The sequence below is a fragment of the Homo sapiens genome, chromosome 5 (assembly GCF_000001405.40).
Source record: "Homo sapiens chromosome 5, GRCh38.p14 Primary Assembly".
NCBI lineage: Eukaryota > Metazoa > Chordata > Mammalia > Primates > Hominidae > Homo > Homo sapiens.
In genome coordinates this window covers 43140614-43166714 of record NC_000005.10, presented here as the reverse complement: position 1 = coordinate 43166714, position 26101 = coordinate 43140614, and the positions used below count along the sequence as shown (strand labels likewise).

At 44.0% G+C, this 26101-nt stretch overlaps 1 protein-coding gene across 17 annotated transcripts in view; it reads right to left on the bottom strand.

Moving 5' to 3' along the window:
- ZNF131 (zinc finger protein 131) overlaps window positions 1-26101 on the bottom strand; it is a 55411-nt gene that overhangs the window by 9610 nt on the left and 19700 nt on the right. For 9 of the 17 annotated variants that reach the window (NM_001388319.1, NM_003432.4, NM_001330711.2 and 6 more), the window contains 2 exons: window positions 5109-5466; window positions 4784-5006 (listed from right to left, as the gene is read on the bottom strand). In NM_001388319.1, the coding sequence (NP_001375248.1) occupies window positions 4784-5006; window positions 5109-5466 (581 nt within the window). Of the gene's footprint in view, window positions 1-4783; window positions 5467-26101 lie in introns of all 17 variants that reach the window. The other 8 variants (NM_001330712.2, NM_001297548.3, NM_001330707.2 and 5 more) reach the window with 2 other exon arrangements.

The window sequence follows — 26101 nt, the reverse complement described above, 5'->3', positions numbered from 1 at the left end:
CACTGCACTCCAGTCTGGGCGACAGAGCGAGACCCCGTGTCAAAAAAAAGGGTCACGGCTGGGCATGGTGGCTCGTGCCTGTAATCCAGCACTTTGGGAGGCCGAGGGGGGTGGATCACGAGGTCAAGAGATCGAGACCATCCTGGCCAACACGGTGAAACCCTGTCTCTACTAAAAATACAAAAAATTAGCCAGGCATGGTAGCGGGCACCTGTAGTCCCAGCTATTTGGGAGGCTGAGGTAGGAGAATGGCGTGAACCCAGGAGGCAGAGCTTGCAGTGAGCCGAGATCGCATGACTGCACTCCAGCCTGGGCGACAGAGCAAGACTCTGTCTCCAAAAAAAAAAAAAGAGTCACTTGTCTCTCACTTCAAATCAAAAGGCAGAAGTGATGAAGCCTGTGAGAGCAAGGCATATCAAAAGTCGAGACAGGCCGAAAGCCAGGTCTCCTATGCCAGGTAGTTAAGTTGTGACTGAAAAGGTAAAGTTCTCTAAGGAAATTAAAAGTGCTACACTAATGAACATATGAATGGTAAGAAAGCAAAATTGCCTTACTGCTTATGAAGAAAGAGTGAGTAACCTGGATAAAAGATTAAACGAAACAAACATTCCCTTTAGCCAAAGCCTAACCAAGAACAAGGCCCTTTCTTCAATTCTATGAAGGTTGAGAGAGGTAAGAAGTTGCAGAAGAAAGGGCAGAAGCTAGAAGAGGTTAATGAAATTTAAGGAATTTCTATAACATAAAAGTGCAATGTGAAGCAGCACATGCTGGTGCAGAAGCTGTAGCAAGTTATCCAGAATACCTAGTTAAGATCACTGATGAAGGTGGCTACACTCAACAACAGATATTCAATGTAGACAAAACAGCCTTGTACTGGAAGATGCCATCTAGGACTTTCATAGTTAGGGAGAAGTCAATGACTGGCTTCAAAGCTTTAAAGGACAGATAACTTTCTTGTTGGGAGCTAATGCAGCTGGTGACTTTAAGTTAAAGCCAATCAGTCATTTATCACTCCAAAAATCCTAGGGTCCCTAAGAATCTTATTACATGTACTCTGCCTGGGCTACAGAAACGGAAGAACAAAGTTTGGTTGACAGAACATCTGTTTACAGCATGGTTTATTGACTATTTTAAGCCCAATGTTGAAACCTACTGCTCAGAAGACTCCTTTCAAAATACTACTGCTCACTGACAATGCAGCTGGTCACCCAAGAGTTCAGAGGGAGAGGTACAAGGAGATTAATATTGTTTTCAGTCTGCAAACACAACAGCCATTCTGCAGCCCACAGATCAAGAAGTAATTTTGACTTTCCAGTCTTATTAAGAAATACAAGGCCACACCAGAGATGCATGCACAAAGAGGATAAAACCATGTAAGGACACAGGTTAGCCATCTGCAAGCCAAAGAGAGAGGTCTCAAAAGAAACCAGCAGATTGATCTTGGACTTCTAACCTCTAGAACTGCGAGAAAATGAATTCCTGTTGTTAAAGCTAAAAAAAAAAAAAAAAGAAATACAGGGCCAAGCATGGTGGCTCATGCCTATGTTCCAAGCCTAGGCAACGTGGTGAAACCACATCTCTACAAAAAACAGAAAAATTAGCTGGGCATGGTGGCACACATCTGTAGTCCCAGCTACTCAGGAAGCTGAGGTAGAAGGATCACTTGAGCCCAGGAGGTCGAGACTGCAGTGAGCCATGATCGCGCCACTGTACTCCAGCCTGGGCAACACAGCAAGACCCTGTTTCAAAGGAGAGAGAGAGGAGAGGAGAGAAGAGAACAACAACTATCTTGGAACTAATTACCAGTATAGAAATTGGTTGAAGTTAAAAAACAATGAAGTGGGGGTTCGGTTTGCTTTATGTGCTCAACTGTTCCTCCAATGGGTATATGGTTCAGTAATTTATAACAACTACTTAAATTACTTATCTCACATCATTTCTAAGGGAAAGACAAAGACATACAACATAATGTACTTTAACCCTATATTCTGCTGTCCAAACCAAAATAAAAAATCTAAGACCTGAGAGGCACATTTAAAGATGTCCAAAGTGGTCCGTGTTGTCCTATTTTCTAAGAGGTAAAAGTCAGTAGGCAATGTTTTGGGTAAAAGAGGTAACTGCGGCTACTTTCACATTCATAGGCTATAAAAGCTACTGATTATCCTGATTATCTGCTGGGGTATTGGAAACTGCTATCAAAGTTTGCAAGTTACTTACCAATGTTTGTTTATTGTGCTGCTGGTATAACAACAATCATTTTGCATAATTAACCCAATTACCACAAAAATGTTCACCAACAGACTATTATTCGTTTTCTAAGGACCAAAAATTGTAACTGTAGGCAGTTTCCAAATATTATATAAAACAGGTAGGCGTCCCTTGGTATATGCGGGGGATTGGTTCGTATAGCAAAATCCACGCACACTCAAGTCCTGCAGCCGGCCCTGTGGAACCACACATACTAAAAGTTGGTCTTCTACATACATGGGTTTTGCATCCTGGGAATACTATAATTTTGATCCATATTTAGTTGAATGAAATCTGCATGTAAGTGGATGCAAGCAGTTCAAACCCACGTTGTTCAAAAGTAGACTGTATATATACATGTTTGCAATCAGAAAGCATTTTCCCAAAAGATTTCATAAACGCCTATTAGTTATCCAAACTAAGTACCTTAAAGACTTTTAAATCCATACTGAGCCTTAAGTACAAGATCCCTTTGCTATTCCTGTATTTACTCAGTCCTCGAATACTGACAGTAAGTTTGGACAGTGAGGGGGATAACATCATCTGAATCTATGTGGTTCCTTAATTTCAAGTGATGTATACCAACTGACAGTGACAAACCTATTTTAAAAAACTTTTACCAGAAGCTCTCCAAACTCCAGCATCAAAGAGAAAGATTCTGAATACTGTAGGCTATCTATGTTGTATTTACTGTATTAACAGTCTAAACAGCCTTAACCACCACATATAACAAAGACTTGGGAACAAATGTCCAGAAGTCTAATACTTAGCATGCTGTATTAACTGCTCTCTCCATACCCTTGTAATAGTAGGTTTAGGAACTATCCAAGATTCAATTCGTTGGTGGTAGCTACTGTGTCTGGTGTAGGAGACCCAGCAAAGGTTGTTCGGGGAGTGGGAGCAAGCAAGAAACCTGAGCAAGGTCAGGGACTCTTGACAGGGAGACGACTGGAATAGGGGATGAAGAACTATGTGGGGCGAGGCCCTGAGGTAGATTTCTCAGGACATTTCCATCATGCCTGCATGGCTCCCAGGAGAAGTATAAAGACCTTATTCTCCTCAGCTCCCTGGATGTCCGCCAGGCCTGACATATTTGCTGTTGAAAAGGTGGAGAGAGATGAACATATACTGCCTACTAACCTACTGTGCCAAAGCAGGTAACTCAATGTACATTAAAAAGTATAAACATGGGCCGGATGTGGTGGCTCATGCCTGTAATCCCAGCACTTTGGGAGGCCGAGGCTAGCGGATCACGAGGTCAGGAGTTTGAGACCACCCTGGCCTGACCAATATGGTGAAACCCCGTCTCTACTAAAAATACAAAAATTAGCCAGGGGCGTGGTGGTGCTCGCCTGTAGTCCCAGCTTACTCAGGAGGCTGAGGCAGAAGAATCGCTTGAACCCGGGAGGCGGAGGTTACAGTGAGCCAAGATCGTGCCACTGCACTCCAGCCTGGGCAACAGAGCGAGACTCCATCTGCCAAAAAAAAAAAAAAAAAAGGCAAATAAAAGAAAAGAAGTATAAACATGTCAGGGATTGCTTTTTTTTTTTTTTTTTTCCCTTGAGACAGAGTTTTGCCCTTGTTGCCCAGGCTGGAGTACAATGGCGTGATCTTGGCTCATGGCAACCTCTGCCTCCCGGGTTCAAGCAATTCTCCGGCCTCAGCCTCCCAAGTAGCTGGGATTACAGGTGCCTGCCACCATGCCCAACTAATTTTTTGTATTTTTAGTAGAGACGGGGTTTCACAATGTTGGTCAGGCTGGTCTCTGAACTCCTGACCTCAGATATCCACCCGCCTCGGCCTCCCAAAGTGTTGGGATTACAGGCGTGAGCCACCGCGCCTGGCCGCTTTTTTTTCTTTTCTTTTTTTTTTTTTTAAGATGGAGTCTCACTCTATTGACCAGGCTGGAGTGCAGTGGCATGATCTCGGCTCACTGCAACCTCTGCCTCCCGGGTTCAAGCAATTCCCCTGCCTCAGCCTCCAGAGTAGCTGGGACTATGAGTGCCCACCACCACGCCTGGCTAATTTTTGTATTTTTAGTAGAGATGAGGTTTCACCATGTTGGCCAGGCTGGTCTCGAACACCTGACCTCAGGTGATCCGCCTGCCTCGGCCTCCCAAAGTGCTGGGATTACAGGCATGAGCCACCGCGCCTGGCTGTCAGGGATTGCTTGTAAATGTACTGTAAGTAACACGACACAAGAAATGTAAAAATAGAAATGGTAAAGTCTCACTATAAGATTTAATTATTTACGATCTTTAGGAAATAAGTCACAAACTATTTTCTCTATTTCTTTGAAAAATATAAAAATTGGGCAAGGCATAAAAGTAACAATTACTTCCAAAGTTGATACTGATTTGCATTTAAAGCACCAATATTTGAACAGGTAATACTATAAAAACGTGTACTTAGCCTACACATTAGAGATAATACATGAGATGGCTTCTGAGGCACTATTTTTTTAAAAAGGATTTAGATACTTAAATTTGAAGTGCATGTGGGAAAAAAAAATTTTAACAAAGTATTTGCTCATTACCTGTATGTTTTCGAAGATGTTCTTTAAAATGTCCAAAATGGTCAAACTGTTTCTCACAGTACTGACATACATGAATTTTTTTCCCAGTTCTTTGCTTCTTACTGACTCCACCTTCTTCAAGGTGGTAACAATTTAGGTGCTGTTTCCATGCGCTCTCTCGAAGATATCGTTTATTGCATATTTCACACTTGAAACTCTCAGTGGAGTGTGATTTCATGTGCTCCTTAAAATGGTAAAACAATTTAAATGAACGGTTACATTTCTCACAATGGAACAAGTCCTTCACATGTGACAGCTGAAGTTCCACAATTTCAATACCTTCTACCTGTTTGCTCGTGGGGTCAGATGGACAGCCATCTTCTTTAATCTGCCCTTTTCTGTCACCTTGACGGTACTTGCTGGTAATATCTGCCAACAGTGCTAGAGCAGAATCATCAGAGGAACCTGTGCTCTGTATGTACTTTACGGACTGCTTGGCAGAAGCCACTTCCTCTAATGTTTCGATGCCTTCATCTTCCACTTCAATGGTGCCTTCGGCAATCTCTACCTCAATTTCAACAGGTTCTGATTCTGCAGATGGCAATGACTCAGTGATAACATTTGAAGTTTCTGCAATCTTCCTTTTTTTGGCCTCATTTTTTCCTGTGGTATTTTCCTCTAAGGGAGCTGAGTTTTCTTTGTTCCTGAAATACATAATGTAGGGGTTTAAAAAATCTATAAGAAGATCCTACCAGGCTTTTTTGAAGAAACTGATAAAGTGGCAATAAAATTTATATAAACAGTTATAAAACAAGACTGCAGGGCTTATCCTACCTGATTTCAAGACTTAAAGCTACAGTAATTAAGACAATAGTACTGGTGAAAGCATAGACACGAAGATTAATGGAATAAAGTCCATGGAAATAGACCCACGCTTAGTCAACTGATTTTTATGGGGGAAAAAAAGGTGCCAGTCAGGTGCAGTGGCTCATGCCTGTAATCGCAACACTTTGGGAGGCCAAGGCAGGTGGATCACCTGAGGTTGGGAGTTTGAGACCAGCCTGACTAACATGGGGAAATCTCGTCTCTACTAAAAATACAAAATTAGCTGGGCATGGTGGCATGCCTGTAATCCCAGCTACTCGGCAGGCTGAGGCAGGAGAATCACTTGAACCCAGGAGGCGGAGGTTGGGGTGAGCCAAGATCGCACCATTGCACTCCAGCCTGGGCGACAAGAGCGAAACTCTGTCTCAAAAAAAAAAAAAAAAAAAAAAGTTCCAAGCTAATCATTTAACAGTGATGCTAGAACAATTATGTGTATGGGAAAAATAAGCCTCAACCTTTACCTCATATCATACATGAAAAATTAATTCAAAATGGGTCACAGACCTAAATTTAAGAATTAGTAAATTTCTAGAAGAAAACAGGAGAAGACCTTAGTGACATTGGTTAGTGAAAGATTTCTCATTCTCTCACCCAGGCTGGAGTGCAGTGGTGTGATGTTGGCTCACTGTGGCTTCAACCTCTTGGGCTCAAGTGATCCTCCCACCTCAGCCTCTCAAGCAGCTGGGACTATAGATGCGTGCCATCACACTCAGCTAATTTTATTTTTGATAGAATCGAGGTCTCACTATGTCACCCAGGGTGGTCTTGAACTCCTGGGCTCAAGTGATCCTCCTGCCTCGGCCTCCCAGAGTACTAGGATTACAGACATGAGCTACTGTGCCCAGCTGACAGATTTCTTCTTTTTTTGTTTTTTTTTTTGTTTTGTTTTTTTGAGATGGAGTCTCGCTCTGTCACCCAGGCTGGAGTGCAGTGGCGTGATCTTGGCTCACTGTAAGCTCCGCCTCCCAGGTTCACGCCATTCTCCTGCCTCAGCCTCCCAAGCAGCTGGGACTACAGGCGCCCGCCACCACGACCAGCTAATATTTTGTATTTTTAGTAGAGATGGGGTTTCACCGTGTTAGCCAGGATGGTCTCGATTTCCTGACCTTGTGATCTGCCCGCCTTGGCCTCCCCCAAAGTGCTGGGATTACAGGCGTGGGCCACCGCGCCCAGCCTGCCCAGCTGAAAGATTTCTTAAACAGCATAAGAAAGGCAGAAATCATAACAGCAAAAATTGATAAAATAGATTTCATCAAAATTAAAAACTGCCCTCTGAAATACAGTTAATAAAAAAGCAAGCCACAGGCCAGAAGAAAATAGTTGCAAACATTTATCTGTCAAATTTTTTGTTTGGTTTTTTTTTTTTTTTTTTGAGACAGAGTATCTCTCTTGTGGCCCAGGCTGGAGTGCAGTGGCACGATCTTGGCTCACTGCAACCTCTGCCTCCCGGGTTCAAGTGATTCTCCTGCCTCAGCCTCCTGAGTAGCTGGGATTACAGGCTCCTGCCACCATGCCCGCCTAATTTTTGTATTTTTTAGTAGAGACGGGGTCTCACCATGTTGGCCAGGGTGGTCTTGAACTACTGACCTCAGGTGATCTGCCCACCTCGGCCTCCCAAAGTGCTGGAATTACCGGTAAGAGCCACTGTGCCCAGCCTAAAGATCTTATATCTAGAGTGAAGAAAGGATTCTCACAACTCAGTAAACTCAGTAAAAGACGACACCTGTTGGGAGACAATTCTCCTTGAGTCTCTTCAGTTTCCTCACATCTTGTGAACTGAAAACTTTCGGTTTGGATGTTTGCAGTATAGTATAGTAGATGAAAGGGCAGGTTTATTGTCCAATATAATAAAGAGAATGCCCCCACTCTGGAAAAAACGTTAGGCAGGTTTGTTTGTAGCCCACTATAAAAATTTTGAGATTCCTAAGCTGGAGATTCTTCAGCTATAATATAAATCAATCTTATGCATTCACCTGGGCCACTCTATGTCACTCTTGTGGGACTTGAGGGGAAGGGAAAACTGGTATAAAAATGAAATTTATACTGCTTGCTATGTAGAGAGTAATAAGGTCCTTTCTTTCTGACTCAGAAGTCTTCTATCTTCTTCCAGCATCCATGACACTGTGGCAGGAAAACTTGTAGGCTTGCAAGTAGAGTAAAATCTCATAGCTCTTGCCAGTTTTTTGGCATTGAGAATAAGATGCTGGGAAAAAAAAAAAAGGCTTTCTGGAAAAGGAAGGATGAGGCATCACAGAGCAACTGATCGGATTTGAGGGAAGTCCACAGGAACCAGCAGCAAACATGTTGACTACACTGTATAGTCAACAAAGCAATAAATGGCCCTCTACTTTACTGCCTATTATTATGGGTTGAATTGTGTTCCCACAAAAGGTATGTTGAAGTCTTGGCCCCTAATATCTGTGAATAGGCCTTATTTGGAAGTAAGTGTGCAGATATAACTGAGTTAAGATGACGTCTGGCCGGGCGCGGTGGCTCACGCCTGTAATCCCAACACTTTGGGAGGCTGAGGCGGGAGGATCAACTGAGGTCAGGAGTTCGAGACCAGCCTGACCAACATAGAGAAACCCCATCTCTACTAAAAATACAAAAATTAGCCGGGCATGGTGGCACATGCCTGTAATCCCAGCTATTTGGGAGGCTGAGGCAGGAGAATCACTTGAACCCAGGAGGTGGAGGTTGTGGTGAACCGAGATCGTGCCATTGCACTCCAGCCTGGGCAACAAGAGTGAAACTGTCTCAAAAAAACAAAAACAAAAACAAAACAAAACAGAAAAAACAACATCGGGTGCAGTGGCTCACGCCTGTAATCCCAGCACTCTGGGAGGCCAAGGCAGGCGGATCAACTGAGGTCGGGAGTTTGAGACCAGCCTGACCAACACAGAGAAACCCTGTCTCTACTAAAAATACAAAATCAGCCAGGCATGGCGGTGCATGCCTGCAATCCCAGCTCCTCGGGAGGCTGAGGCAAGAGAATCGCTTGAACCCAGAAGGTGGAGGTGGCTGTGAGCCAAGATGGCACCACTGCACTCCAGCCTGGGCAATAAGAGTCAAACTCAGTCTCAAAAAAAATAATGAGGTTATTAAGACAAGCCTTGAATAATTCAATACAATTAGTGTCTCTACAAGGAAGAAGAAACCTGGACACAGGAGAAAGCCATTATGAAGACAGAGAAGATGGCAATGTGAAGATGAAGGCAGAGACTGGAGTTCTGCTACCATAAGCCAAGAAACACCTTTTCGCCAGAAGCCAGAAGAGGCAAAAACGATGCTCCCCTTAGTGTCTTGGGAGGGATCATGGCACTATGAACACCTTGATTTCAGACATTTAGCCTTCAGAACTGAGAAACAACACATTTCTCTTGTTTAAAGCCATCCAGTTTATGGTACTTTGTTACAGTAGTAGCTTTAGGAAACAAAAGTACCTATTAATGAAGCAAAACTTGGAAGGTGGTTGCAGGAAGAGTATTGGGCAGCAAGTTCAAGAACAGCTGCTAAAATGGTGCCCTGGTTATTGCAAACTCTTCTGTGGGAGAGAGACTCTTTTATCAATCTGGTACCATGTCTGCCCCATGGTTAACAACCATACTAAGATTCATTGGGAATGGGTGGGTGGGACAGAAGGTTCTGCCTCTTTTCAGACAAGTTACAATAATATGCACCTACAATGAATGTAAAAGAAGGGAAATTTGCGATTGCTATAGGCAGAAGCCAGGTGAGTCACAGCTTTGGACGGTTCACATGGGAGATGAGGGGAGAACATAATGCTTATCAAGGAAGAATGATAAAACCTGGGCCAGCTTTGGGCTCCGTCCTTCCTGTAGTTTATCATGTCCACCTCTGATTCATTTGGAGGACAGTAAAAGGTTTCCAAGTTTTTTTTGCAGTCAGTCTTGGCTTCTATAAGGGCCCTCTTTGAGAGATGTCTTTGAGACAAACTCCTATGGGAAACCATAGATAAGATACTGAATATATAGAGCCTTCCAGTCCAATTGGGTTTACAATGCTGATGAAGATTCTCACCAGGGAATGAGAAAAGGATCCAAAGTAATACGAATTCTTGTGGTCAATGCTGCTGAAAAGCTCCCTAACCTTTATGTTAAAACCAGGCAAACGAATAACAACAGGGCAGCAATGTCCAGAATTAAGGTGTAATTTTTTTTTTTTGGTGGGGGTAGAGAGACAAGGTCTCACTATGTTGCTCAGGCTGGTCTCAAACTCCTGAGCTCAAGTGATCCTCCCACCTTGGCCTCTCAAAGTTCTAGGATTATGGGCGTGAGCCACTGCGCCTGGCCAAGGTGTACTCTTTAGTCACTACTGTCCAAGTCAAACCTGAGTCAAGTCAAAAAGGACATAAACCTCACAACCCCAAATGCAAAGTAATATGCAGGGAGCCAATGAATCAAGGAATCCCCGAAGCTGAAATAGATCGGTGTCAGCAGGGATGACGTTACACTGACTGAGGTCATTGGGTGGGCTGAAAACACTGGAGGTTTGTTTAGTCAAGCCACGTGCAGCTTCTGTGCTGCTTGAAACCAAAAGTAAATGTGCCTTACTTATTGGCACAGTCACTTTTCTCCCTCCACATCTCTTCCTCCTCTACCCTCTCCTTTCACTTCAGTGCTTTTAGGAGAAAGATAATTAGGAGTGGAGCCAAATTCTCCCTATTCCCAAAGGGGACTGAAAGCAATATACTCATCCAAGTATACTGGAGAAAACTCAGGAATGGGAGGACTCAAGCTTCCATGGCTATGTCAGATTAAGGTGCCAAACTCACCATACCACTTTTCCATGGGGAGAGGATGGACTTGCATTTTTTAACTGATGGGGTTTGGGCATGGTTCACAGCAGGAAAGGGACGCTATCCTGACCTTGTGGTACGGCTGATTCTATGTATACTGTTGTTGCTTCAACATGTGAATGTATAGCAGGAAGTGCATTTATACTTCTTCATCCCATAAGTACCAGAGGGAATCACCCCAACTGGGAAGAAAAGCTAACAGAACAGTGCAGCAAACCTGCAAACCTCCCTGACATTTGCCGCTAGTGGTGAGGTCAGGATTTAGTGCAGTGTCTCTATCTTCTGATGTCTAGTTTATGTTATATATTGATGATATCCTGTTGACTGGTAAATCAGAAGTCTCAGTCTCAAAGGCTGACTGCAATGTTATCACACCTCCATCAGCAGGGGTTGCTGATAAACCCCAGCAAATTTCAGAGGCCTACTCATCAGGTAAAGTTTATAAAGATAGATTCACAACACTCCATCCATCCAGCAGTAAAAGAAAAACTGTTTCTTCTCCTATCCTCCTCCCAACAAAAATAAAGCCCAGTATCCTACTGGACTCTTTGGGTGCTGGACAGTATGTGCCTTACTTAGGCATTCTACTTTCTCCTTTCTATCAGCTAACCTGCAAGCAAAACAGCAACCTCTAAGTGGGGCTCCAACCAACAGGCTGCTTTGGAAGTTAACAATCGAACTGCAGTGCATTCTCTCTACCTTTAGGGCCCCACAACGCTAATGAACCCTTTGAGCTACTAGTCTGAGCCTGATGCTTTTGTAGATTAGAGCTTCTGGCAAAAGGAGGCAGCCTCTACCCAACGGTTATTACTTGGGTTTTGGACTTGCTGAACCCTGACACAGCTCCCAAGGTACACCAAATCTGAGAAAATTAGTTTGCTGTTGCGCTCTTGTTGAAACTGATCCCTAACTACCCATACAGGCCCTGAGGTTCTCCAGTCTGATATTCCCATTTGGGGGTGAGTAAACTCAAGACTTCATGACTAACAAGGTGAGAAATGCCCACCAAGTGTCACTTGTCAAATAGAAATGGTATACTTAAGAAAGTAGTGGGCCCCCTCAGCCATCATGAAAAAGTAGCAGCTCCCTAACTGTTGCCCAAAGCAAAATCACTAGATTAATGGAGCCCTTAATTAACTGATGGCTTGGCTAAGCTGAAATTTGACGGTGTTCACTGGGCTGCTGCAAGTGCTCAGCCTCTGCACCAACAATGAAAACCCAAAGCAGACATGGTCATTCTGCTCAGTGGGCAGAACTCAAGGCTGTCCTCATGACTCTGGTCAACATTCCCCCAAATTAACCTTGCTATATTTTTACTGGCACTTCCATTGTTGCCAATGGTCTAGCTGTTTAGTCTGCTACTTGGAAGACTTGGCAGATTAAAGACATCCACGCCTCTGGGGCCACAACTGTGGAAAAAATAGCAGCTGTTGCCGGAATTATCTGGGTCACTCATTCAGATGTGCAAGATAAGGGACTATTCTCTAATGAGACCAACTGGAATCAAGATGCTAACCAAGCCTGCACTGCCCAGATTGCCACTAATGAAGCCTACAGCCAACATTATTCTGGATATGGTAACACATGCACCACCATCAGAGACTGGGCACAAATTAGAGGACCCTGTTTCTTAGGCAGAAGTCTGCCACTGTTACGTCAGACTTGACACCTGTTACAACTTGGTCTGCTTGTCTCATAGTGAAGGATCACATAACACACAGAGCATTGTCTCCGACTGTTCCTTGCAGACAGTACTGGAGCTGTGACCCCACTGCAGGGCTATCAGTGGTGCTTCACCATTGCCGACATTTCTGACACTTCTTTTTTTTTTTTTGGAGACGGAGTCTCGCTCTGGAGCCCAGGCTGGAGTGCAGTGGCGCAATCTCAGCTCACAGCAACCTCCACCTCCCTGGTTCAAGTAATTCCCCTGCCTCAGCCTCCCAAGTAGCTGAGATTACAGGTGCACGCCACCACGCCTGGCTAACGTTTTTGTATTTTTAGTAGAGACAGGATTTCACCACGTTGGTCAGACTGGTCTCAAACTCCTGACCTCAGACAATCTGCCCACCTCAGCCTCCCAAAATGCTGGGATTACAGGTGTGAGCCACCCCGCCCCACCATGCTGACACTTCTTTAGGTTACACTGTTGCTGTTCCAGTTTCATCAGCTGGTTCTGGACACACTACTGTGGCTCTTGAAACTAATCTATGTCTTATGTTCACCTTTCTATACCATCTGCAGTCTGATAATGGTTCAGCTTTATCACATACACAAAAATGACCACAAAAGCTAATCAATAACAGTCAAGGTACTGATGGATGTTTCATGCTACCATCCATAGATACTGAGTAGCTTGTTGAGTATGGCGACAGCTTTCTCAAACAATGACTCAAAATGATTTCTGACTCTACTTCCCTCACCTCCTCTTTGTCCAAAAATCTGAGTAAAGCAGTTTGATCACTGAATTTAGCTGTCCCTAGAAAGGGATCATGTCTTCTTGGCTACTTCGTGGATAATGATGAAGACAGAAGGGGAGGGAAGTAATATAAACCCAATCTGAAAAAGCAGGATTCTGTGCCCTGAATTTTTGTTTGTTTGTTTGTTTTTGAGATGGAGTTTCGCTCTTGTTGCCCAGGTTAGAATGCAATGGCACGATCTCGCTTACTGCAAACTCCACCTCCCAGGTTCAAGTGATTCTCCTGCCTCAGCCTAAGTAGCTGAGATCACAGGCATGTGCCACCAGGCCCAGCTAATTTTGCTTTTTTTTTTTTTTTTTTTTTTTTTTAGTAGAGATGGGAGTTCACCATGTTGGTCAGGGCTGGTCTCCAACTCCTGACCTTAGGTGATCTGCCCACCTCAGCCTCCCAAAGTGCTGGGATTACAGGCGTTAACCACCGCGCCTGGCCCGCCCTGAACATTCTTAAACATTTTCTTTTCCCCCAACAATAATCCTGGAATAGCCTGGTACCTCTTAAAGGTGACAGCCTGGCCAAAGCCAGGGTTAGGAAATTCGAACTTCATTCTAGTTCAGCCATCTGGATTCTCTTAATGGAGTGACATCATCTTATAGGAATACTGACCACTTGATTGAATTCACTGCTTGCCAAGTACACTCACTTATAATAGCCCATGTGAGCCAAAGTGGGAAACATAATGGGTCTCTAAGTTTTAAATGTCCTTGCCCTTCTTGTACCTGACCTTACCAGATGAAAGGTCTGCATAAGAGGAGGGGATGACTGGAAAAGAGGTGAAGGAGGAATGACAATCTTGCCATCTAGGGAGAGAAACATCTTACGACTCCAGAAGATATAGGGCAGGGAGGGACAATAATCTTTGTCAAGCTGGGTGTGGTGGCTCACACCTATAATACCAGCACTTTGGGAGGCTGAGGCGGGAGGATCGCTTGAGTCCGGGAGTTTAAGAACAGCCTGGAGAACATAGTAAGACCCCATCTCCACAAAAAATTATAAAAGATTAGCTGGGCATGGTGGCACATGTCTACAGTCTCAGCTCCTTTGGGAGGCTGAGGTGGGAGGATCATCTGAGCCTGGAAAGTTACAGCTGCAGTGAGCTGTGATTGCACCACTGCACTCCAGCCTGGGTGACACAGTGAGACCCTGTCTCCAAAAACAAAACAAAACAAACCACCTTTGTCTTTCAGAACTGCCCCTAGAACCTTTCAAATTAAGAAAAATGCTCAGTTGCAGGTCTCTCCAATGGCTATAAGCATTTTTAAACTGACTGCTGTGTTTGCCATTCCCTGCCAAGTGGTTTCCCTTAACTTTACCAACATATCTTCTAAAAACAGCTGGGGATGACTCCTGTGTGTCGCAGGCAAAACACCATGCTCCACTACCATTCTCATAGCTGAGATCAGTCCATGAGGTGGACAGTTACTACTCAAGTCAGCTGGCATTCAGGAGCTTGTGATAAATAGGACAGACTCGGCTGGGAGTGGTGGCTCACACCTGTAATCCCAGCACTTTGGGATGCTGAAGCAGGCGGATCACTTGAGGTCGGGAGTTCGAGACCAGCCTGGCCAACGTGGTGAAACTCCGTCTCCACTAAAAACACAAAAGTTAGCTCAACCTAGTGGCACGTGCCTGTAGTCCCAGCTACCGGGGAATCTGAGGCAGGAGAATCACTTGAACCTGGGAGGTAGAGGCAGTGAGCCAAGATCATGTCACTGCACTCCAGCCTGGGCGACAGAGCGGGACTCCATCTCAATAAATAAATAAATAAATAAATAGGAAAGAAGTCAACTGACTGTCCTGTCCTCAGTCTCTCCAAAAACTAGAACTAGACTGAATCATTCTAATTGAACTGGGAAAGGAGACTACATTGGAGGCTATATCAATCTGTGCCTCTACACTGATGCAGGTTCGTGCCTACTTTGGAGGCACGAACAATTGCAAATAGTACTTTCCTTTCAGGGTTCCTATGTGCCCCTGGGACTGTGCTTCTTGTGTGGAAGCCAGGTACTAATTTCCTTGCCTCACAAAAATACGATGACTGGCAAGGCGCGGTGGCTCGTCCCTGTAATCCCAGCACTTTGGGACTCCGAGGCAGGTGTGTTACTTGAGGTCGGGAGTTGGAGACCCGTCTGGCCAACATGGAGAAACCTCATTTCTGCCAAAAATACAAAAATTAGCAGGGTGAGGTGGCAGGTGCCTGTAATCCCAGCTACTAGGGAGGCTGAGGCAGGAGTATTGCTTGAGCCCAGAAGGCAGAGGTTGCAGCGAACTGAGATTGCGTCACTGCACTCCAGCCTGGGCACAGAGTGAGACTCCGTCTCAAAAAAACAAAACAAAACGAAACAAAATGACGACTTACACCTAAGAGGTGGTTATAAGAGACCATCAAGTGTTTAAGGAAGATCAAGCAGCCCTCGGGTGACTGTGGAGGTCTCATTTAAGGATACTCTTGGTTAGAAATTCTCAAAGGGATGCTTCCTAGAATAATAACTGACTTATTTATGCACATCCCGTGGGCAGTTTTCCCTAATAGGAGTAATCCAATTAAAAAAGTGGTACAACATTGTGCATGACTTAAGCTGATATGTTCACTGATATCACTTGGGCTCTGGAAGGCATTTATGTCAGCTTCAAGCCACTGGGGCCAGGTTTATTATGAATGAAAAACTTGCCCTAGTAGACATCCTCCCTATGGGACAATGTGGAGCCTGTATAATTGTAAAGCATCTTGCTATACTTAGACTAATGCCCAGGGCTAAGTGGAAAAGTCAATACAGAAACCGAAAAAGAAAGTCACCTGTTTTTCTAGGGATTTGTTCAGTTGGCTGAGTCCAGAATGAACCTTAGTGTGGTGGGTGCATGATTAAGGTCAACACGGCAGGGTGCCCAAATCCTGCTGCTTGAAGTTCTGTTGACTTCAATAAATCCTTAAATAAATCCAGTAGGAGAAAAACTGAATGGATTAGGTCCTGGTCCCTGTGTTTTTTGTTTGTTTTTGGGACAGAGTTTCACTCTTGTTGCCCAAGCCAGAGTGCAATGGCGCGATCTCAGTTCACTGCAGCCTCAGCAATTCTCCTGCCTCAGCCTCCTGAGTAGCTGGGATTACAGGCATGTGTCACCGTGCCCAGCTAATTTTTTTGTATTTTTAGTAGAAATGGGGTTCCACCACGTTAGCCAGGCTGGTCTCGAACTCCTGACCTCAGATGATCCGCCCGCCTCGGCCTCCCAAAGTGCTGGGATTACAGGCATGAGCCACCGCACCCAGCCAGGTCCTGGTCCCTACGGTCAGATTAATCAGAGCGGCTAAAGAAGTGCTGTACTTATGGGGAAAATTCAGTACCAGCCAGGATAATACAGAAACAAGGATATGGAACAAGACAACTCTCCATGGATACTCATAATGTTTCTGCATGTCTTATAAACAAAGACATTGAGAGCCTTTTATTTTGGACTATCTTTTCAAAGTTGTCTGTACAGCAAAGGACTTTGGAAAACAGAGCCTGTCCTCTTCCAGAGTGGAGAGTAGGTTTATTTATTGTCCAGTATAATAATGTTTCCTCTACAGCAAAGGTTAGGCAGGTTTGCTTGCAGCTCATTATAGAAGATTTGGGTTTCCTAAAGCTCAGAATTCCTCAACTGTGATGCAAACAACTGTGAGCACGGTACACACCTAGGCCACTGTGTCACCCCTGTGGGACTAGGGGGACAGGGAACAAGAAACACTGATACAAACATGGAACTCATGCTGCTTTCTTTGCTCTAAGTAATCAAGCCCTTTTCTGGACTCAAGAGTCTCATGTCTCTTGCCGGCATCCATGAAACTGTTAGCTAAAAAGTTACTACCTTGCAAACAGGATAAAATCTCAGACCCCCACAATGCTGCCCCCTTCTTGACAATAATCCCATTTTAAAAAACAGGCAAAAGATTTGATCAGGCACCTTGCCAAAGAATACAAACAGATGGCAAAAAAGCCGATTAAAAAATATCCAACACCATTAGTCATTAGAGAAATGCAAATTTAAATCACCATATACCCACCAGCCCAGCTAAAATAAAAAAAAGCCTGACCATATCAAGTATTCACAAGGCTGTGAAAAACTGGAGCATTCATAGGCTGCAGAATGGAATGTAAAATGGCACAACCATTTTTGAAAAAGAGACTGACAGTATCTTAGAATATTAAACATATACTTACCATACAAGCCAGCTATTCTACTAAGAGGTATCTACCAAGAAAAATGAAAGCGTATGTCCAAAAACTTGTTACACAAACGTTCATAACCACTTTATTTCTAATAGCCAAAAACTTGAAACAACCTAAATGTCCATCAACAGGTGAATCAACAAATGGTGATACATCCATACAATGGAATACTCAGCAGGAAAAAGGAATGAACTACTTATACACACACTAATATACGTGAATTTCTTTCTTTTTTGATCCACCCGCCTTGGCCGCCCAAAGTGCCAAGATTATAGGCGTGAGCCACCGTGCCCAGCCTTTTTTTTTTTTCTCCCTCTGTCTCCCAGGCTGGAGTGCAATGGCACGATCTCGGCTCACTGCAGCCTCTGCCTCCCAGGTTCAAGCGATTCTCCCCCCTCAGCCTCCCGAGTAGCTGGGATTACAGGCATCCGCCATTATGCCCAGCTAATTTTTGTACAGACGGGGTTTCGCCATGTTGGCCAGGCTGGTCTTGAACTCCTGACCTCAGGTGATTTGCTCGCCTCGGCCTGCCAAAGTGCTGGGATTACAGGTGTGAGCCACTGTGCCCGGCATGAATTTCAAAATAATTATGGCAAGTGAAAGAAATTACACAAGCACTACCATACTATTACATGCACATAAAATTGTAGGGATGAAGATAGGAATAGGGAGAGAGGAATGGATTACAAAATTGCACAAGGAAACTAGAGAGTGATAGATGTGTTTATCACTGTGATAATGACTTCACAAGAATATACATGCATGTTAAAAGTCATCAAACTGTGTACTTTAATATGTGCAGCTTATATTATACCTTATTAAAGTTTTAAAAATATTAATACTACAATAACATACCACTACATATCCAATTAGAATGACTAAAGCAAGAGTCAGCAAACTCTGGCCTAACAGTAGTAGCATGTTTTATGTCAACGTTTTATTAAAACATAGCTACACCCATTCATTTACATACTGTCTATAGCTGCCTTGCTACAACAGCAGATCTGAGTAATTGCAACAGAGACTATATGGCATTTAAGTCTAAATATTTATGTCCTTTTAATAAAATGTTTGTCATCTCCTGACCTAAAGTTTAAAAAACCCTTGACAATATCAAGTGCTGGTGAAGACAGGGCATAAGTAGTTGTGTTGCACACAAATATGTAAATGGATAAAACCACTTTTTATTTTGAGACAGGGTCTCGTTCTGTTGCACAGGCTGGAGTGCAGCAGCACGATCACTACTCACTGCAGCCTCAACCTCCTGGGCTCAAGCAATCCTCAAACCTCAGCTCCCCAAGCAGCTGGGACTACAGGCATGTGCCACCACACATAGCTAGTTAAAATTTTTTTTTTTTTTTGTAGAGATAGGGTCTCACCATGTTGCCCAGGCTGGTCTTGAACTCCTGGGATCAAGGTATGCTCCCGCCTTAGCCTCCCAAAGTGCTAGGATTATAGGCATGTGCCACCATACCCAGCATATAAAACTACTTTTTTCTTTTTTCCAGAAAAAAAAAAAAAAAAAAGCACTCTTGTCGCTCAGGCTGGAGTACAATGGCATGATCTTGGCTCACTGCAACCTCTGCCTCCCAAGTTCAAGTGATTCTCCTGCCTCAGCCTCCCAAGTAGCTGGAATTACAGGTGCCCACCAGCACACCCAGATATTTTTTTGTATTTTTAGTAGAGGTGGGTTTCACCATGTTGCCAGGCTGGTCTCAAACTCGTGACCTCAGGTGATCCACCTGCCTCGGCATCCCAAAGTGCTGTGATTACAGGCATAAACCACCACACCCGGCCATAAAACCAAAAAACTTCCAAACTGTTTTTTTTTTTTTTAAACTTCCAAACTGGCCGGGCGCGGTGGCTCACGCCTGTAATCCCAGCACTTTGGGAGGCCGAGGCAGGTGGATCACGAGGTCAGGAGTTCAAGAAACAGCCTGGCCAAGATGTTGAAACCCCATCTCTACTAAAAATACAGAAAAAAATTAGCCGGGTGTGGTGGCAGGCGCCTGTAGTCCCAGCTACTCCGGAGGCTGAGGCAGGAGAATGGCGTGAACCCGGGAGGCGGAGCTCGCAGTGAGCCGAGATCACGCCACTGCACTCTAGCCTGGGCGACAGAGCGAGACTCCGTCTCAAAAAATAAATAAATAAATAAATAAAATAAAATAAAAAAAAGATTTAAAAAACTTCCAAACTGTTTTCCAAAGTTAAACATACACATACCAAACAACTAAGCTCTATTCCACTTGTAGATGTTTACTAAGAGAAATGAAAGCATATATCCACTCAAAGATTTGTATACAGTAGCATTATTTTAATAGATAAAATCTTAAAAAAAAACATGCAAAAGTCATCAGATAAACAAACTGTAGCATACCCACACTGTGGAATACTACTCAGCAATGAAAAGGAACAAAATAACACCCACAACCACCTGGACAAATCTCTAAAACACAATGCTAAGGTAAATAAAGTCAAACATGAACTTTGTACGGTACACTATAGAAAAACTAGTGATAAAAATCAGATCAATGATTGCCTGGGGCTAGAGATCAGGATCAACTGCAAACAATCATGAGACAAGCTTCTAGAATGATAAAAGTGTTCCCCTGATCTTGATTGTGGTGGTGTCTGTATCACTGTATATATACATATATATATATATTTTGAGATGGAGTTTCTGTCATCCATGTTGGAATGCAATGGCGTGATCTCGGCTCACTGCAACCTCTACCACCAGGGTTCAAGCAATTCTCCTGTCTCAGCCTCCCAAGTAGCTGGGACTATAGGCGCACGCCACCATGTCCGGCTAATTTTTGTATTTTCAGTAGAGACAGGGTTTCACCATATTGGTCAGGCTGGTCTCGAACTCCTGACCTCAGGTGATTGCCTGCCTCGGCCTTCCAAAGTGCTAGGATTATAGGCATGAACCACTGCGCCCGACTCATACACAGTTTTTTGTTGTTATTGTTGTTGAGACAGAGTCTCGCTCTGTCGCCCAGGCTGGAGTGCAGTGGCGCAATCTCGGCTCACTGCAAGCTCTGCCTCCCAGGTTCACGCCATTCTCCTGCCTCAGCCTCAGCCTCCAGAGTAGCTGGGACTACAGGTGCCCGCCACCACACCCAGCTAATTTTGTTTTGTATTTTTAGTAGAGACAGGGTTTCACCATGTTAGCCAGGATGGTCTCGATCTCCTGACCTCATATCCGCCCACCTTGGCCTCCCAAAGTGCTGGGATTACAGGCGTGAGCCACCGCGCCCGGCCATACGCAGTTTTAAGTTAACAATAATGTAATGTCAGCAAAGCAAAATGAGGTCCTAATTTCTTTTCGGTGTCGTTCAGAAAGTTTACACTACATTCCAAAAATAATTCCATACTGCATATGTGAGAAGAGCACCTCATGCACCTTCTGTATTTGCAAAATAGTTATACAGTTGCCTTAAGTAGTCCAGCTAAATTAATTTTTATTCCTAAATTGTTTAGCCTGTTAAATTATATGTCTTCCTAAGGCCCCATAAAGCCCTTGGTTATTGCTTTTGTGGTCACTCCTTTGATGACAAATATTTACGCCATTAATATGAAATTAATACCCCACTTTGGAATGCTCCAATACCAATTCTACCATAACTTTCCGCTTAAGGATCAACTCATGGTATAATCGGTTGGAAGACATTTTAAATGACAAACTCAACTTGTCTGGTATCGGTAACACAAATAACTACTAGAATTTATTAACAGTTGAAACTGTTAACTCTTGCCTGGCCACTCACTATTAAAAGGAATTCCTATTTGAAATATATTAAAATGAGGAAAAAAATTGTGCATCTTATGTTGAAAAAGTACGGTTTCCTTTGGTTCTTTTCAAGTACAAGTGTTGAGGTAAATTGTAAACCACTTCTTTTTTTTTTGTTTTGAGATGGAGTCTCACTCTGTCACCCAGGCTGGATGGAGTGCAGTGGTGCGATCTTGGCTTACTGCAACCTCCGCCTCCCGGATTCAAGCGATTCTCCTGCCTCAGCCTTGTGAAAACTGGGATTACAGGGGCGTGCCACCATGTCCGGCTAATTTTTTGTATTTTTAGTAAAGACGATGTTTCACCATTTTGGCCAGGCTGGTCTCAAACTCCTGACCTCAAGTGATCCACCTGGCTTGGCCTCCCAAAGTGCTGGAATTACAAGCATAAGCCACTGCACCCAGGCCGTAAACTACTTCTTAGCCAGTTTTCTTATGCTTGTCTTAACTATAGGTATGACCTCTGAACTCAGATCCCTATCCCAAACAGGAGTAATTAAAGAACAAGAAAAAGTGCTCCTACCAGGCTTTTGTTTTGCAGAGTGGGATAAGCCAGCCTGTATTCACAACTGAACAGCAAGGAAAGAGATTTTAGAGGCTTATGACGGAATGGACATAAACCTGGCAACTGAGTCTCAGAGGCATAATTTCGAGGTAGTTTTTCAAACCCATCCACAAATGCCTCCTGAAGATGAAAAAAACACATAATCCCTGCCTCAGAGAGGTTGGAGACTATTAGAAAAATGTGGGAACACTAATATGATTATTGTTGTAATGGAAAATGTAAAACATAAAAATACAGAATAATAGAAGTGCCTAAGTCAATCTGCTTGGCTCAGTAAGGAAAAGCTTCAGAGAACAGGTTGTTGGCTCTCACCTGAGACCAGAAAGATGAGTAAAATTTTGCCATGAACAAGCAGACAGATGGCATTCCAAGAAATGAAAAGAACATATGCATAATCATGTTATTATGTGGCAGATATTGTTTTAAGAGCTTTACGTGTACCACTTCCTTAAAACATAAATCTAAGACAGGATAAAATATTTGGAGATTTGATCTGACCCACAGCTCACTTTTCAAATAGCCTTAAACACAAGACATTTGTCAAAAAACAATCAATGGCAACTGTTTATCATTGCAACTACTGTGGTGGCATTACAAGTTTGGGCTATCAAGAAGCTGAACAAAAACTGAAAGGAAAAACTGGAGAATGAGATGTTCATAGGGGGCTTTAAAAAGCTCTGACAGACTGGACGTGATGGCTCATGCCTGTCATCCCAGTACTTTGGGAGGTCAAGGCAGGTGGATCACCTGAGGTCAGGAGTTCAAGACCAGCTTGGCCAACATGGTGAAACTCCGACTCTACCAAAAGTAAAAAAAATTAGTTGGGCGTGGTGGTGAGCGCCTATAATCCCAGCTACTCAGGAGGCTGAGGCAGGAGAATCACTTGAACCTGGCAGGCGGAGGTTGCGGTGAGCCAGGATCGTGCCAACACAAAGCTCTGTCTCCAAAAAAAAAAAAAAAAAAAAAAAAAAAAAAGAAAGAAAGAAAAAAAGGCCAGGCGCCGTGGCTCACGCCTGTAATCCCAGCACTTTGGGAGGCCGAGACAAGTGGATCACGAGGTCAGGAGATCGAGACCATCCTGGCTAACACAGTGAAATCTCGTCCCTACTAAAAATACAAAATATTAGCTGGGCGTGGTGGCGAGTGCCTGTAGTCCCAGCTACTCGGGAGGCTGAGGCAGGAGAATAGCGTGAACCTGGGAGGTGGAGCTTGCAGTGAGCCAAGATCGCACCACTGCATTCCAGTCTTGGGGACAGAGCGAGACTCCGTCTCAAGGAAAAAAAAAAAAAAAAAAAAAAAAAAAAAAAAAAAAAAGCTCTGACAATATTCCAGAGAACCTAGAGGGCCATACACATGCACAGAGCTGTATACATGTCCAGGAAAGACCTTAGCAACTCTCATCTCTATCTGACCTTGAGGTTCTGTTAACACAGGAAGTAAAGGCTAAAGCAGTTGTAAACTGCTTGATGGGACACTGATGGTGTACCCTATAAAGAGCTCCCCAACAAAAATGTGGAGACTTACTGGTTTAAGACTTTTAAGAAAATTTCTGTCCAATGATCAGTTTGTTCAGTAAACTACCTATGCAGACTTCAGTGGCCATACACACAAAATGTAGACTGTACAGAATTACAGGAAAGGGATTACAGAAGTCCAGGAAAGTCACTAAACCAGTAACAACAATAAGAAACGATGTCTGGCTCATCTAAACTAGTTCCAGTGGGATAGGAAATTAAGAAACTTCAAATACAGCGTGTAGTTGAAGATGATAAACTTGCAACAGTGGAGAAGCAGATCACTGCTTTTGAGGACTATGTGCAGTCCATGGATGTGGCTGCTTTCAACAAGATCTAAAATCCATCCTGGATCACTGCACTTAAATAAAAGCTTGAGGCCGGGCGCAGTGACTCGTGCTTGTAATCCCAGCACTTTGGGAGGCAGAGGCGGGCAGATCACAAGGTAAAGAGATGAGACCATCCTGGCCAACATGGTGAAAACCCCATCTCTACTAAAAATACAAAAATTAGCTGGGCGTGGTGGCGTGTGCCTGTAGTCCCAGCTACTCGGGAGATTGAGGCAAAGGAATCGCTTGAACCCGGGAAGCAGAGGTTGCAGTGAGCCGAGATCACGCCACTGCACTCCATCCTGGTAACAGTGAGACTCTGTCTTCAAAAAAAAAAAAAAAAGCTTGAAAGATTAAAAAAAGAAACCATGTCTGGCCAAGTATGGTGGCTTATGCCTGCAATCCCGGCACTTTGAGAGGCTGAGGTGGCCACGTCTCTTGAGCCCAGGAGTTCGAGACTAGTAGCCTGGGCAACATGGTGAAATCCTGTCTCTACAAAGAAATACAAAAATTAGCCAGGCATGGTGGCAAGCATCTGTGGTCCCAGCTACTTGGGAGGCTAAGGTGGGAGGATCTCTTGAGGCCGGGAAGTTGAAGCTGCAGTGAGCTGAGATTGTGCCACTGCACTCCAGCCTGGGTGACAAAGCAAGACCCTGTCTCAAAAAACCAAACCAAACCCAAACAAATCATGTCTGAGAGACAGAATGGGGGTGGGGAGGTAGGGGGTGGGATCTAAATAAAACTTATTTAAAAATATCCAATTTTTGGCCGGGTGCCATGGCTCACGCCTATAATCCCAGCACTTTGGGAGGTCGAGGCAGGTGGATCACGAGGTCAGGAGGTCAAGACCAGCCTGGCCAAGACGGTGAAACACCCTCTCTATTAAAAATACAAAAAAATTAGCCGGGTGTGGTGGCGGAAGCCTGTAATCACAGCTACTCGGGAGGCTGAGGCAGAGAATTGCTTGAACCCGGGGGAGGCGGTGGTTGCAGTGAGCCGAGATCTCACCAGTGTACTCTCCAGTCTGGGCGATGGAGTCTTGCTCTGTTGCCCAGGCTGGAGTGCAGTGGCATGATCTCAGCTCACTGCAACCACCGCCTCCCGGGTTCAAGCAATTCTCTGCCTCAGCCTCCCGAGTAGCTGGGATTACAGGCGCCCGCCACAACGCCTGGCTAATTTTTTTTGTATTTTTAGTAGAGATGGGGTTTCACCGTCTTGGCCAGGCTGGTCTTGAACTCCTGACCTAGTGATCCACCCGCCTCGGCCTTCCAAAGTGCTGGGATTACAGGTGTGAGCCACCGTGCCCAGGCCAAAAATCTAATTTTTAACCAAAAAAAATGATGAGACATACAAAGAAACAGTAAAATAAGGCTCATGCATGGGGGAAAAAGTCAACAGAAACCATCTCTGTAGAAGCTTAAACACTGCATTATTATAAACAGCCAACATATAATACTACTGTCTTCCTCTTTTCAAAGGGAACTCTTCAGAACATATTACATGCCTATCTGGTTCAAGAAACAATTCAACATGTTACTGTGTTTATACTGAAAAGCAATGATTGTTTTAGGTACTATTGGAATTCCAGTTTTTTTTTTTTTTGAGACAGGGTCTCATTCTCACCCAGGCTGGAGTGCAGTGGTGCAATCTCGGCTCACTGCAACCTCTGAGTCTCCCATGCTCAAGCGATCGTACCACCTCAGTCTCCTGAGTACCTGGGACTACAGTTGCACGCCACAGTGCCAGCTAATTTTTGTATTTTTCATAGAGTTGGCGTTTCACCATGGTGCCCAGGCTGGTCTCAAACTCCTGAGGTCCAAGTAATCCACCCACCTTGGCCTCCCAAAGTGCTGGGATTACAAGTATCAGCCACTGCGCCAGGCTTGGGATCCCAGTCTTGAATCTTCTCCAAAGTGACATACCACTCACTATCATGAGCAGCAAAAGGGCCACAGAGAACATTCTTTTGGAAGGCTCTCATTCAATATTTAACCACAATCTGACATCGCCCCATCCATATATATTTCCTTTAATCTTTTTGAGAAGAGATGGCCTGATCAGGTTTATATCCTCAGAATGCATCTCTATTTTGACATCCATGCTCAGGTCTCTCTGCAAGAGTACTGATCTGGTTTTAATTAGCATGTATCCATCTATCTATTCACAAATGTTTCCTGTACACCTGCTATATGCCAGGTGCTAAGCATCAAAGAATATATATACGTATCAAGCTCTTGTCAGAAAGGTTTAATCTTGAACTGTCAAACTAAGAGATGATATTTATGGACGAGTACAGTTCAGTATTCTTAGAGTTATCTAAATTTTTATCTCTTAAAAAAAAACTTTTATTCGGCCAGTCACAGTGGCTCACACCTGTAATCCCAGCACTTTGGGAGGCTGAGACAGGCGGATCACTTAAGGTTGGGAGTTTGAGACCAGCCTGGGCAACATGGCGAAATCCCCACCTCTACTAAAAATACGAAAATTTGCTGGGCATGGTGGCAGGCACCTGTAATCCCAGCTACTCAGGAGGCTGAGACAGGGAGAATTGCTTGAACCCAGGAGATGGAGGTTGCAGTGAGCCGAGATTGTGCCACTGCACTCCAGTCTGGGAGACAGAGCAAGACTCCATCTCAAAAAAATAAAATAAAATAAAATTCCAGTAGAGTCCTCAGAGAAATAAATTTTATCTTTTAACTAAACCACAACAGTGAGTTAAGATTAAATCATTGTGCCGCTATGTGAAACTGATTTTA